The sequence below is a fragment of the Homo sapiens genome, chromosome 9 (assembly GCF_000001405.40).
Source record: "Homo sapiens chromosome 9, GRCh38.p14 Primary Assembly".
Lineage (NCBI taxonomy): Eukaryota > Metazoa > Chordata > Mammalia > Primates > Hominidae > Homo > Homo sapiens.
The window spans coordinates 87,322,557-87,337,427 of record NC_000009.12 but is presented as its reverse complement, the minus strand read 5'-3'; the positions used below and the strand labels follow the sequence as shown (position 1 = coordinate 87,337,427).

The window sequence follows — 14,871 nt, the reverse complement described above, 5'->3', positions numbered from 1 at the left end:
GAATTTTGTGATGGCTGATGCCTGTTTGTTTTTTTTCCCCCCCCATTTGCACAATTGCGAGTCTTCTGGGAACTTTTCTTTTACTGACACTATGGTTTTGCATGTTTAAAAAATTGGCAGACATCCTCGGAGGTAACGCAAGGTGCCTCGGTGCCATACACAGCCAAGGTGTGCAGTTCCGCGGCCGCATGATTCATAGTTCTGCTCTGTTTGGTAAAAACAAACACTGAAGACGCGTTATCAGTTTATTAGTACAATGTTTAATTGTGCTCTTTTTTTTTCTGTTCTCACTCCGTTAATTGCTCATAAATGGGAAAACAAAAAGGATTGAGTCCTTTTAGCGGTCGGGCTGCTCTGGAGGTGAACTGTATTCTATTGCTTCTAGGGCCACCTTGTGGACAACAAGTGTATTTAGAAATTAGACTTACAGGATGGATTCATTGGGAAAGCGTAGTAGACTGGTAATATGACTTTGGAATTCTTGGTTATAAAATCTAAGTATAATGATAATGACTTAGTTTTTATTAGAAGAACATTCCAGAAAATGTCCTAATTTAGGAAAGGCTAGTAATTGTGGCGAGTATGGAAATCTACCCATCACCATAAAATATATAATGATAATCCAGATTTTATATTTTATAGTTTATTATCAATCATCTAAATTTCCTTACAATTCTTTCATGTGCTGGGGGTGGAGAAAAACCCAGGAGAGAGAGAGAGAGCCTGTTTCTCAACTATCTCAGTATTTCAGATTTCTTGCTGTTTTCCTCACCCCGCTAGATGGCATCTGGCTGCATGAAAGAAGTGACATAACCTTGGGGTGGTGGGAGGAGATACTGTGTCCCTGAGCACCAGTCCTTCATCTGCTAGTTGCAGATGGGCTGGGCCTTCTATGGGTCTCTGCATGGAGCTTGTTGTGTGCAGCTGGTCCCTTCTGGCTGCATGTCAGGTAGGGGTCATGAGTCCCCATGTTCCACAGACCCCATAGCTTTGTGATCTTTGGTCAGCACAGCTAATCTCAGAACCTTTGAGGACACGTTTGTGGATCTTCTGCAGACCATGCATAGGCTCTGGGGCACCAGTAACATTTTCTCAGGATGTCTACGTAGATATCTTATTCACCATTGCTAGTCCTGCCATGTTGGATGTGAGGGTATACCAAAGACCCACTTCCCAAAGACAGGCTTGGGAGTTTCCAAGTTTACCCTAAGGTCGCAGAAAGGGATAGATATCAAAGACATTGGCAACCAACCTCTTCACTCTGTTTTTCTCTCTTCCCTCCCATGTTCCATCTGGGCTAGAAGAGGAAGGTTCTTCTCCTTTCTGTATATCAGAAGTTTTCCTTTCATCACATCTTGCATTCTTTCTTTCTTTTTTTTTTTTGAGATGGAGTCTCGCTCTGTTGCCCAGGCTGGAGTGCAGTGGCACAGTCTTGGCTCACTGCAACCTCAGCCTCCTGGGTTCAAGTGATTCTTCTGCCTCACCCTCCTGAGAAGCTGAGATTACATGTGTGCGCCACCACGCCCAGCTAATTTTTATATTTTTAGTAGATACGGGGTTTCACCATATTGGCCAGGCTGGTCTTGAACTCCTGACCTCATGATCTGCCTGCCTTGGCCTCCCAAATTGCTGGGATTACAGGCATGAGCCACCATGCCCGGCACATCTTGCATTCTTTCTATCCTATGACTTACAGCAAAGCAGCAGAATCAGTATTGCCAAGCTTCACTTAGATTCTTCAGAATTGTCAAAACGATCCTATTTCTAGAGACACAAAAATACAATTTGTGTAGTCAAAGCAGAAAAATCAACTCCTTTTGTGCATTCCTGATGTAATTATTCTAAATCCTCTTAGAGGCAAATGGATGCTTCTGGCAGATTGAGTGAGTATATACTTGGAAATGCAAATAGAAAAACACACCAGTATTTCTCAATAACAAAGCTATTGGAAGATGATAGCATTAAAGATATTATCTTCATTTTATTATGTTATTTTTATTAGTCCCCAAAATGCAAATATTTCATAGTTTGGATAATAACTTGGAAAGCAAATAATGCAGCCTCTGTATTATTTCTCTCCTGCTGTTTCTTTCCTGACTTGACCAAACTAAGATTGGTTGATGTTTGGTTTTGCATTATAACCTCCTTAGAAGATAAAGGCAAGGAGACTGGGAGAAGCTGGTGCATTTTAATAGGAGCCTATTGTAAAGACATGAATTTATGCAGGACAGCCTTCTTGCCAATCCAGTACCTACACCAAAACAATATTAGCCCCTTCTAATCAAAAAGGAATTTTTATTTCTTTAGGTCAGTAGTTTTTTTCCTTTTTTTTTTTTTTTTTGCAACTTCCACCTCCAGGGTTCAAGCAATCTCCTGCCTCAACCTCCCAAGTAGCTGGGATTACAGGCATGTGCCACTATACCTGGCTAAATTTTGTATTTTAAGTAAAGATGGGGTTTCACCATGCGGGCCAGGCTGGTCTCGAACTCTTGACCTCAAGTGATCCACCCGCCTTGGCCTCCCAAAGTGCTGAGATTACAGGCGTGAGCCACCATGCCCGGCCTAGGCCAATAGTTCTTAACCCGAAGTGAATCATGTCATTTCACTTGGCAAGCATTTTCTAAGCGCATTTTAGCCTTTGATTTAGATATTCTAATTCACTTGTTCTGAGATTGGGCCTACAGAGTTCTGAGAACATTCCTTGTTAGGCATCATGGCTGAGGTTTATGGTCTATCCTCTTGTAATCCATTCTATCGGGCACCATCTATTGCTTTGTGCCATCAATTACCTCTTCTTCGGTAATGCAGTGTCTTGGCAGGGTGTGAAAGGTCACTTTCAAACTATCAGGGCCTGATGATTCATACTTTCCCCAGAGTCCTCTGCATATCCTGGACACAACCGCTTTCTATTTATTCATGGAGTGCCCTGGGAGCCCCAGCATGTCAAGGGACACTAAGATTCCCTGACACTTCCCTTGGTTTACACTAGACTGGGAAGACTATATAGGCATAGAGAGCCCCTGATGGTCTGTAGGATAAAACCATTGAATTCCTGAAAGAAAATCCACCACAAAGGAGGAATAAATAGTAATTGATTAAACATATACAGTCATGTGCCCCTTAAGGACATTTCGGTTGATGATGGACTGAATATATGATGGTGGTCCCACAAGGTTTTCATAGGCAGGCCTGCCTTATACAGGTGTACCACTTTTTAAAAATCTTTCATGCCACATTTTTTACTATACCCTTCCTATGCTTAGATATGTTTAGATACATGAATACCTTCCATCGTGTTATAGTTTCCTACAGTATTCTGCATAGTCACCTGCAGTACAGGTTTGTAGCCTAGAAGGAATAAACTGTACCATATAACCTAGGTGTGTGGTAGGCCGTGCCATCTAGGTTTGCATAAGTACATGCTATGACGTTCACACAATGATGAAATTGCCTTGCAACACACTTCTTGGAATGTATCACCATCTTTAAGCAAAGGATGACTATACTAATTGAACATCTACTATGTGCCACATGATGCGTTGGAGATACCTGACAACAAATAGACAAGCAATCGCCATTTCCACGGGGCATGAGAGGGGACAGGCAATAAAAACTAGAATGGGTAAATACCCAAGACAATGTCAGATAGCAATAGGACCTCTGAAGAGTGGTGGGTGTAGCAGGTGAAGCAGCAGGGATCTGGGTGAAGGAGGGGAGCATGGGTGTGCTTCGGTGTGGGGCTGTGCCTCCCCCAGGGCAGGGCACCCCAACATCACCTCCTCCTAGTCCTGCAGCCTCACTTGAGAGTGCTGTGACTCTTAGCGGAGGACAGGTCCTGGGGCATAAAGGAAAGATTGGAGTTCCAAGGGATCCAAATGAAAGGGCTGTGGGACCTTTCTTTGAAAGGTGGACATAAGGGTTGACAGAGGCCAAGCTGCCTGGGAGAAATAAGTGGAGGTGTGGACACAGGCCCACAGCACGTGAAGGTTAGAAGTCTGCAGGAGATTCTTTTTTTTGTGTGACAAGGTCTCGCTCTGTGACCCAGGCTGAAATCCAGTGGTGTGATCTCGGTTCACTGCACCTTGGTCTTAAACCATCCTCCCACCTCAGCCTCCAGGGTAGCTGGGACCACAGGCATGCACCACCACACCAGCTAATTTTTTGTATTTTTAGTAGAGATGTGGTCTCACCATGTTGCCCAGGCTTGTCTCGAATTCCTGAGCTCAAGCAATCCACCCTCCTCAGCCTCCAAAAGTGCTGGGATTACAGGCATGAGCCACCATGCCTGACTTCTACAGGAGAGTCTAGCAGCGTGGACTGGAGTCGAAGGCCAGGACAGTGGTGGCAGGCACCAGGGCAGAGGGCTGGTGGGCATGGAAGACCTGGAACACTGGGTCTGCAGAGCTCCCCCTGAAATCATCCCTTGGCTCCCATTCGCTCATAATCTGAGCAAGAGAGACCCTAGAAAGGGCCGGGGGGCACTCGGGTTGTCTCTGTATACAATCCTAAGGACTCACATAGATGTTCCTGGAAATAGACAGCAGTCACTGCTAATTAGCTAGCTAGTGGGTGCTCAGAGTATGGAGACTGGTGTATGAGAGGCAATGTGATGGCAAAGTCAAGTTGCCAGCCTCTGAAGCCTGGCCTGTTCTTATCTGTCATATGGTGAGAACTTTGAGGGCAAAGATTCTTCTATTTTCACCACCATGCAAAGTGTCCATGATAGTAGGAAGCAGTAACTCAAGAAATACTTACTAGTTTCTATTTGACTGTTTTGACCTTGGGCTTTATTTTTATTTATTTATTTTTCCATCCAAGGAAGCATCAAAATAAAGGTTGGTGTGTAAATCAGATTGATGTGGGTAAATCAGTAGTTAATAAAATTAAGATTTTTTTCTTCTTGATTCACTTGCAAGCATGACTTGGATAATTTGCAATTATATCTCAGGAAGAATTAAACAATTATATGATGCAAATGAGCTTAAAATGATGCCCTTTGGGATCAAATGCACACAACTGCTTTATCGCTGGAGATTTGCACAGGATTTGTATTTCAGCTGTCTAATGCTAGTAACAAACCACCCTAAAATTTAACAGCTTAAAACAACAACCATTTTATTATCTTTCCCAGTTCTACAAGTTGATTGAGCTCATTTGGAAGAAGCTTCTGCTACACATGATTTTGGCTGTGGCTGCAGTAATTTTGGGGCTTGATTGGGTTAAAATGTCCCAAAGGGCTCATTCACAGAGCTGGCCATTGCTGTGTATAGTGCTGGCCATTGCCTGGGACCTCAGCTGGGGCTTAGTTCTCTTTCATATGGCCTTCTCCATGTGTAGGTTGGGGTTTTTCACAATATAGCATCTTGAGTCTAAGAATAGGCACCCGAAAGGAAGGAAGCAGAAATTGTCAGTTCTCAGAAGGCTGAACTCACTTAAGGCTGCCTTTGAAGGCAGTCCACTTAAGGCTGGACCAATTCTGTTGGTCAAAGAAGTCATAGAGCCAGCCCAGATTCAAGAGGAGATGAAATAAAACTCCACTCACTGTGAGAGTGGCACACATGTGCACAGGGGCCCCATCTTTAGATACTACCTACCACAATATGCAAAATATACTCATCTCCTCTCCTCATATTAGCATCATGGTATTGGCTCAAACAAAGTACAGGATCATATTACTAGCTTCAAGCATGGATAGGAATCCTTGAGTGCAGCTTCTCTGGTGTGGTTTCTTGAGAGAAAATTCCTCTAAACTAGAAAGACAAGTTATCTGCCCTGTATACAACCTCTCACATAAAATGTGAAAAAGGGACAAGATAAATGCAATAAATGCTCCCATTCAAAAAGTGGGAAAACAACAGGCCAATAGCTTTAACTAGTTCATAGCAATTCTGAAATCCAGCCAGGCATGTGTTGTCATTTTTTGAATCAGGATCTCTTTCATGGTTCTCTGTGGTTCTTGACTCAGCTCTCTAGTGACCTGTTCTTTTCTATAAGAAATTATCTATGCTTGCAGCTGAGTAGGAGACAGTCTCAATCTCCTTTCTCTTTATAAGAGGTTAAGGACCCAGAGACCTCTTTTCATTTTGAACCATCTCTGTATCTTTTAGACCAAGTTAATATAATTCCTTTAAAAACCTTATAGGTTTCCTGTGCATCAAATTATAATTCCAATCCCTTAGATAAATGCGACACTCAGAATTCTCCTTGAGACAGGAGCATCTAAACCTTGGACTGAGATTAAAAATGCTATAGAACAAATCCCTTAAGATTCTTGGAAGCCCTTCTGTCTTGGAAATGAAGAAGGTTATTGAGGCACTGTCTCAAATCTTTCTAAGGTCTTACGCCTGCACTTTTGATTTGAACATTTTCTCTGACACTATATTTTACTTGCAGCAACCTGGGTTTAATACTTGCCTTAAGGACATTTCTTCCTTTGAGAATCTTTTGTTGAGTCCTGAGTTCTCAACGTGTTTTCTAAATTCTGCTCTCAATCTGAGCAGTCCTTTTTTTTGGTTCATCTCTCTTTCCATTGGCTTCATAGTTTGACAGTGTTGTTAAATGTTCTACCAATATATTGTATGAGTTGCCTTTTCTTCAGCCTCCAATAACAATTTCCTCACTCTCCTTCCAGTCTCCTTTAGTGGTTTTTTGAGACCTTTCTGGCTCCCGCCTGCCCCACCCAGTCTTAAAGCCAATGTTGTATGTTTTTGGTTTCTGTTACAGTATCTCACTTCTAGATATCACGTTCTGTTTCAGCTATCAATTACTGTGGAATAAGCCAATTTAAAATACAGTAGCTTAAAACAACAGCCATCTTACTATTCCTAATTCTATGGGTGAAATGGACTTGGGGTCAGTTTTTCTGCTCCATGCGATGTCAGCTGACTCTGCAGTCTTCTGAGGGCTCGACTGGGAAGAAAGACCCAGGAGAGCTCACTCACATGTCTGGCAGTTGGTACTGCATGTTGGCTGGGAGCTGAGCTAGGGCTGTTTACCAAAGACCTTTGTTTTCCCCCATATGGGCCTTGCAATGTAGTTATTTAGGCTTCCTCAAAATTTGATGCCTCAGTTCCAAGAATGAATGTTCCAAGAAGGAGGTAGAAAGGGTCAGCTTAACTCCTGAGTTCAAAATTCACTTCTGACATATTTTATCCATCAGAGCAAGGGGCTAGCCCAGATTCAAAGGAAAAGAAGTACACTCCACCTCTCATTAGAGGAATGGATGTACATACAGGCAGGGAGAGTTGATAGCATGGTGGTCATCTTTGGAGACGACCACAGCTGGAGGATGGTGACTGCCTCTGTTAACAAGGAGTCACATGGAACTGGGTGCTACTTTTTCTTGTGTAGAGAAGACAAATAGCTCATTTCTAGAACTTTTCAATTATTTTCATATTTTCCCTTTGATTCATCCTACTCACTGAAGGCATGTTAATATCTACCATTTGCACAATTGAAATTTACTCTGTATATACTGAGAATTCACTATAAAAATGCATTTGATATTTCCTTCAGTTGGGCAAGATTCTTGGTAAAAAGTTAAAAAAATAAGAATTGAGGCCCGAAACAAAGTCTGAATTTAGTATTGATGTGCAGTATAAACTGTTGCCAAAGCATTTTTCTTTTTTTTTTGAGATGGAGTCTCACTCTGTCACCCAGGATGGAGTGTAGTGGCACGATCTCAGCTGGCTCACTGCAAGCTCTTCCTCCCGGATTCAAGCAATTCTCCTGTCTCAGCCTCCCCAGTTGCTAGGACTAAAGGCGCACACCACCATGCCTGGCCAATTTTTGTATTTTTAGTAGAGATGGGGTTTCACCATGTTGGTCAGTCTGGTCTCGAACTCCTAACCTCAGGTGATCCACCTGCCTCAGCCTCCCAAGGTGCTGGGATTACAGGCATGAGCCACCGCGCTCGGCAGGTACTAGAATTTTATTGTTGCATTGTTATGTAATAGGAAAGGAGGAGAAGGAAGGGGAGGAGAAGCGGACTACTTAAACGATCTAAAAGTCCACCCATGAGAGAATGGATGACTACTCTGTAGTAAAACAAGCAAATAAATCATTATATAACAATAAAAATGAATTAGAGCTGCAGGTATCAACATACAAAATCTTACCAACAATGTAAGAATCTTACCAACACGTAAAGAATTAGAATTGCTAATTCTAATACTGTAGGATTAACCCTGGACATAAGATCAAAATATAAAAACATACATACATAACAATGCGACAATAAAATTCTAGTACCTGCCGGGCGCGGTGGCTCATGCCTGTAATCCCAGCACTTTGGAAGGCCGAGGTGGGCAGATCACCTGAAGTCGGGAGTTCGAGACCAGTCTGACCAACATGGAGAAACCCCGTCTCTACTAAAAATACAAAATTAGCCGGGCGTGGTGGCGCATGCCTGTAATCCCAGCTACTAGGTAGGCTGAGGCAGGAGAATCGCTTGAACCTGGGAGGCGGAGGTTGCAGTGAGCTGAGATCGCACCATTGCACTCCAGCCTGGGCAACAAGAACAAAACTCTATCTCAAAAAAGAAAAAAAAAAAACAAAAATGAACTGGGTGTGGTGGCAGGCACCTGTAATCCCAGCTCCTCGGGAGGCTGAGGCAAGGGAATCGCTTGAACCTGGCAGGCGGAGGTTGTAGTGAGCCGAGATCGCACCACTGCACTCCAGCCTGGGTGACAGAGTGAGATTCCATCTCAAAATAAATAAATAAATAAATAAAATAAAATACATTAAAATTCTAGTACCTGTCTCCTTGTGAAAATGTGTGAGATTTTTCTTTTCCAGGATCTAGCAGGAGTGGAACTACTGTGTTGTGGAGACTCAGATATCTCTTATGCACAATTCATAGCCTCTTGGCCTGACCTACTTTTCCAGTTATTATAGTGGCAACCGGCTCTGTGAGAGCTCCAAGTGACTTTCCCTTGGTGTTCCCTGATCTGCCCCACCCCCTTCTGTGATGCCTGTCTCTTGCTTTGGCCTGGGATGAGGCATGAAACACTACAGACCATGCTCAGTGTTCATGCATGCACAGCCATGAAGCATGGCGGAGGCAACGCCACACGGGGCAAACATTTGACCCTGGGACATAGGAGCCAGTGGATAAATTCTTCCGCTTTGCACCCCTGGACTAACTGTCCTGTAGTGCCATTTGCATGGCTTCTTGAAGGGTGATCTCACTAGATCCAGCCACGGGAGCACTCTCTGCAGGTGGCCCCTGCCTCATTTCCCTTCCCTCTGTATTCCTGAGTCTCACTCTCATCACTACTGAGAGACCACCTATCTCTGGGGTGAGTCCAGCAGAGTCTGCCAGGGTTCTCTTCCTGCCATTGTGAATGTCCCCACATCCAAGTGGAGTAGAAGGAATGTGGTGGACTTGTGGGGAAACTGCTTATGATCAGTTGAGCTTTTGTGGCGGAAGTTACTCACACTGTAAATTCTACACCCAGGAATTTATGGAAATCTGGTCTTTAACTTTGAGTTTGGACAGACAAGTTTGGTGCTAGTGGAGATCCTAGTTTAGGGGTTGGTTTGGAGCAGTGTGAATCTACTAGGGATTTAGCTGAATATTCAGAATCAGGAGGTTAAAACAGATGTGAATCTGATGCCTATTGCTGGCTTGGATTAGTAGGCACCAGCCTCAGGGCACATGACTCAGCCAGCCCTGATTCTGCCTCCTCTAAAGCTAACATAATTTTCTGATAGAGTGTGTTGCATTATGGTCTATAATATTATTCATGCTACGAATACTTATTGAGAACCTACTGTATGCCAGATACTATTCTAAGTGCTTTAAAAACATTAATTTAATCCTCATGACGGCTCTGAAGTAATAAGTGTTATCTCATATGAGGAAATTGAGGCACAGAGGTTTAATAACTTACCTCAGGTCCCACAGTGGTCAAACTCTATTTGAACCCAGAAAGCCTACCCCTAGCCCCACACTATTAACCATTGGACTACACTGAGTCTTTTATTAGGTCTTCTTCTTCTTCTTCTTCTTCTCCTTCTTCCTCTTCTCCTCCTCCTCCTCCTCCTTCTTCTTCTTCTTGTTCTTCTTGTTCTTGTTCTTCTTCTTCTTTCTTCTTCTTTCTTCTTCTTCCTTCTTCTTCTTTCTTCTTTTCTTTCTTCTTCTTTCTTCTTCTTTTCTTCTTCTCTTCTTCTTCTTCTTCTTCTTTTCTTCTCCTTCTCCTCCTTCTTTCTTCTTCTTTCTCCTCCTCCTCCTCCTCCCCTTCTTCTTCCTTCTTCTTTGAGTCTTTTGTTAGTCCTTCTTCCTCCTCCTCCCCCTCCTTCTTCCCCTCCTCATCCTTCTTCTTCCTCTTGTTGAGACAGGATCTTGCTCCATCACCCAGACTGGAGTGCAGTGGTGCAGTCATGGCTCACTGCAGCCTATGTCTCCCAGGCTCAAGCGATTCTCCTTTCCAGCCTCCCAGGTAGCTGGGACTATAGGCATGCACTACCATACCTGGTTAATTTTTTCTATTCTTTGTAGAGGCAGGTTGTCACTATGTTGTCCAGGCTGGTCTCTGTCTCCTGGGCTCAAATGATCCTCCTACCTCGACTTCCCAAAGTGCTGGGATTACAGGTGCCAGCTACCATACCCAGCCAGTCCTTTCTTCCTTCCTCCCTTCTTTTATATTTTAATGTCCAAATTGAGGTATAACTAACATGGTAAAAAAAAAATACCCTTTTTAGGCACATCGTTCTGTGAATTTTGGAAAACACATATGCTCATGTAACCACCCCCAAAATCAAGTCATAGACATTCTCATCATCCCAAGGGGTCATTGTGCCTTTTCCTCTACCTAGTATCTGGCAACCAATGATCCATTCTCCTTCCCTGGAGGTTTGCTTTTTGGAGACTGTCACATGAATGGAATCCTATAGGACGTAGCGTTTTGAGTGGCCTTCTTTCACTTAGCATGAGATTCATTCATGTTGTTGCACATGTTAGCAATGTGTTTGTTTATGGCCGAGGAGCATTCCATTGCATGAATGTATAATAGTTTGTTTCTGCATTTACCAGTGGATGGATAGTTGTATTATTTCAAGTTTTTGATGATTATTAATAAAGCCACTGTAAATATTTATCTGCAGGTATCTGTGTGGACATATGTGTTTTCATGATCTTGGGTGAATACCTAGGAGTGAGATTGCTGGGTCATAAGTGAATGTTTAACTTTATAAGAGAAAGCTTTCCCAAAAACCCTGTGCCATTTTGCATTTCCATCAGCAATGCACAGGTTTTCCAGTTGCTATTATTATTTTTTTTTTTTGAGACAGAATTTTGCTCTGTCACCCAGGCTGGAGTGCAGTAGCACAATCTCGGCTCACTGCAACCTCTGCCTCCTGGGTTCAAGTGATTCTCCTGCCTCAGCCTTCTAAGTAGCTAGGATTATGGGCACCCACACCACGACTGGCTAAGTTTTGTATTTTTAGTAGTGATGGGGTTTCACCATGTTGGCCAGGCTGATCTCGAACTCCTGACCTCAAGTGATCCACCCGTCTTAGCCTCCCAAAGTGCTGGGATGACAGGCGTGAGCTACCATGCCCGGCCTTAAGTTACCCATTCTAATAGAGGTGTGGTGGTCTTTTTATGCATTTCGCTAATGACTAATGAGGTAGAGCATGCTTTCATGGGTTTATTTGCTATCTCTTTATCTTCTTTGGAATGTTTTCTTGTAAATAATATTTCATTTTCACTAACCATATGCTTATGAATACATATAACTTATTCCAACTCTACAAGTGAATGTTCATATACCATTCAAGTTTTTTATTTCCAATCATTATTGAAGATGAATAATAGTGTAGTTGTTAGGCACAGGAAGAAGGTTCAAGTTGCAGCTCAGCAACTTCCTAGCTGTGTACTCTAGACAAGTTGTTTGAAGCTCTGTGACTCTTTCCTCATCTGTAAAGTGAGGATGATAAGAGCATCTACTAGAAAGAGTTTTTGTGAGGACAAAGTGAAATGCCTCATGTGAGGTTTGTAAACAGTGCCTGACACATATGTAGTAAATGTTGCATAAGTGTTAGCTATCATCGTGATCTTTATTTTCATCTTCATCAACATCATCATCATTATCATCATCATCATCATCCGTGATTGAATTCAACAAAATGTATATGTATATTTTTACATATATAAATGTATATGTTCAACTAACATACATTTAGACAATTCACTCCTTTTAATCTAGTTACTGTAAAGAGACGTCACTTAACATAGGGGCCTCCAATTTCATGTTGCTGATTTCAAGGGCCCAGACGAACCTTTAAAACATTCTTTGGATTAAACAAGCATATAAGCTACTTGCTCCTCACAAACATCTTTAGGTGAATACACATCATTTTAATTAGGTAGAAATATGTCTTTGAGTTTTGTTGGGGACAGCTCAGTATTAAATTTCTGATAGGAAATTATGATGTTGTACGATTGTAATAGGATTTGAATTTGTGGACTAAATCTTTGCGCAAATAGATTTATACACAAACAATTTAATTTAATTCCATTAAATAATTAACTAATGATGTTGGTGACTATGGTGAACAGGACCTCTAAATGGGAGGATGTGGATATGTAATTACTCATTTTGTCCACTGAGAGGAGCCATTTCCATAGCAAAGATGGAACAAAGGTGAAAGGGAGATTGTGCTCACGACCCAATATTAACCTTAGTGTATAAAGTTACTTGTGCAGATGCCTGAAATCACTACGGTCCTACAATACTCAAATAAACCATGTTTTAAAAGTCAATACAATTAGCTGCAGTGATTTAAAACAAAAATCTGTTGAGTTTGGGTGGCAGTACATCTTCCCAGGGAGAGGTAAAGGGTAAAGATCATTTTTTTTCCTCTGTATCTCCTTCAGAAATACCCAGCACCAAATAAAAGTTAGTTGCAGGTAGCAATAGCAATAGAAATGTTTGCTGAGGGTTTGCTGTGTACTAAGTGTGTTGTAAACATTGGCTTATTTAATCCTCACACTGATTCTATAATGTTGGGAATAGTTGCCATCATTCCCATTTCACAGATTGGAAATGGAGGCACAGAGTGGTAAGTCAACCACCTGAGGTCACGGAGCTGGTAAGAAACAGGCAGTCTGGCTCTAAAACCCACGCTTCACTATGCTGTCTTTCAACTGTAAAGTCTGCAAGCCTTGGCTGAATGAGTGAATGAATGAATGATGGAGAAAGTGAGAGGATGAGACAGTGCAGACAGCTCGTCCAGGCCATGAAATCAGAAGTGTTTTCCCTTGAGACTCAGAGAGAAAAGTCAAAGTGGAAAAGTGGGCCCTCTGAACAGTTGCATGAACACAGCACAAATGTCAAAAGAGAACAGATAAGGAGGAACTTGTTTTGAATATATCTTAATATTGGAAATGATGTCAACAGTCCTTGGGGATAATGATCTTGGGGATAGTAAGAGAAGGTTTTGGCCTAGATGAAGTGAATATGGGGATGAGAAATGCAGTTTCCAGCTGGGCACTGTGGCTCACGCCTGTAATCCCAGTACTTTGGGAGGCTGAGGTGGGCGGATCACAGGGTCAAGGGATTGAGACCATCCTGGCCAACATGGCGAAACCCCATCTCTACTAAAAATACAAAAATTAGCTGGGTGTGGTGGCACACACCTGTAGTCCCAGCTACTCAGGAGGCTGAGACAGGAGAATCGCTTGAACCCGGGAGGCAGAGGTTGGGGTGAGCCGAGATCGCGCCATTGCACTCCAGCCTGGCGACGAGTGAGACTCGTCTCAAAAAAAAAAAAAAAAAAAAAGAAATGCAGTTTTCGTGAAAAATATGCTGTGTGGTACAAAACTGAACTGTGTTATGGTTTTATCTTTCCATATTTTATTAACATTTCAAAACTTGCCTCATCTTTCTTGACTGTCTTTAAAAGGTTTTTTGTTCCCCTTCTGCATTCCCCTCCCTCCTTTTTTAAAAAATTTTTTGCAGCTGTTTTCAAGCACTCTGGCTTTGTCATATTTTCTTGGCTTTGGTGACACGTGAACCCCAATTTGCCTGGTGATAAAAAAGGTCTCACAAAGAAATCCAAAAAGTTAAAAAAAAAGAAAGCTAGGACAATTTTTCCCACCTTAAAATGATTCTGCCACATTATATTCAACACAGAAAATATCAAAGATGAAAAAGTAAAGTGAATTATTTATAACTCAAAAGAGAGAGAAAATTTCTCTTTTTAGAGACTCTTCTGAGAAAGAATATCTAACATTCGGGGTGAGAGGTGCTTGTGGCCCTTGGAGAATCTTATGACCCATAGCTATGTTCACATTCAGATTTTTTTATTGGCTTAAAAAAAAGTATTTAGAAAAACTAACTTATGGAGACTGCTTGCTTTGCCAAGAGAAATGAGAGAACCCTATTTTATTACCCTTGTGAGTCATCTATTTTCTTGGTTCTGCAAAAAAAATTGTTATGAAACTCATCAAATATTACTTAGGAATAAAACCAGTGTTTGTGATTCATCTATAAAACAAATTAATTCACACAATTCAGTATAATCTTGACATCACGGTGCTGCAAAACAAGGCGTTGTCATTGAAAATCTGCCTGTTTTCAGGTATCAGTTGTTTATGCAGAAGCCTTTCTGGACCCTCTCTTGAGCTTTGTTTCAGCTCAGAATAAGAAACTCAGGCCGGGCACAGTGGCTCATACCTGTAATCCCAGTGTTTTGGGAGGCTGAGGTGGGCAGATCACTTGAGGTCAGGAGTTCAAGACCAGCCTGTCCAACATGGTGAAACCCTGTCTTTACTAAAAATACTAAAATTAGCCAGGCGTGATGGCACGCACCTGTGGTTCCAGGTACTCAGGAGGCTGAGGCAGGAGAATTGCTTGAACCCAGGAG

At 42.2% G+C, this 14,871-nt stretch overlaps 1 annotated feature.

Moving 5' to 3' along the window:
• Positions 791-960: a silencer, noted in NCBI's record as "fragment chr9:89951383-89951552 (GRCh37/hg19 assembly coordinates)". NCBI's record gives its function as "represses an EF-1alpha promoter that drives an FKBP-Casp9 reporter gene in an ReSE screen in K562 erythroleukemia cells {active_cell/tissue: K562}" and the evidence as "EXISTENCE:reporter gene assay evidence [ECO:0000049][PMID:32094911]".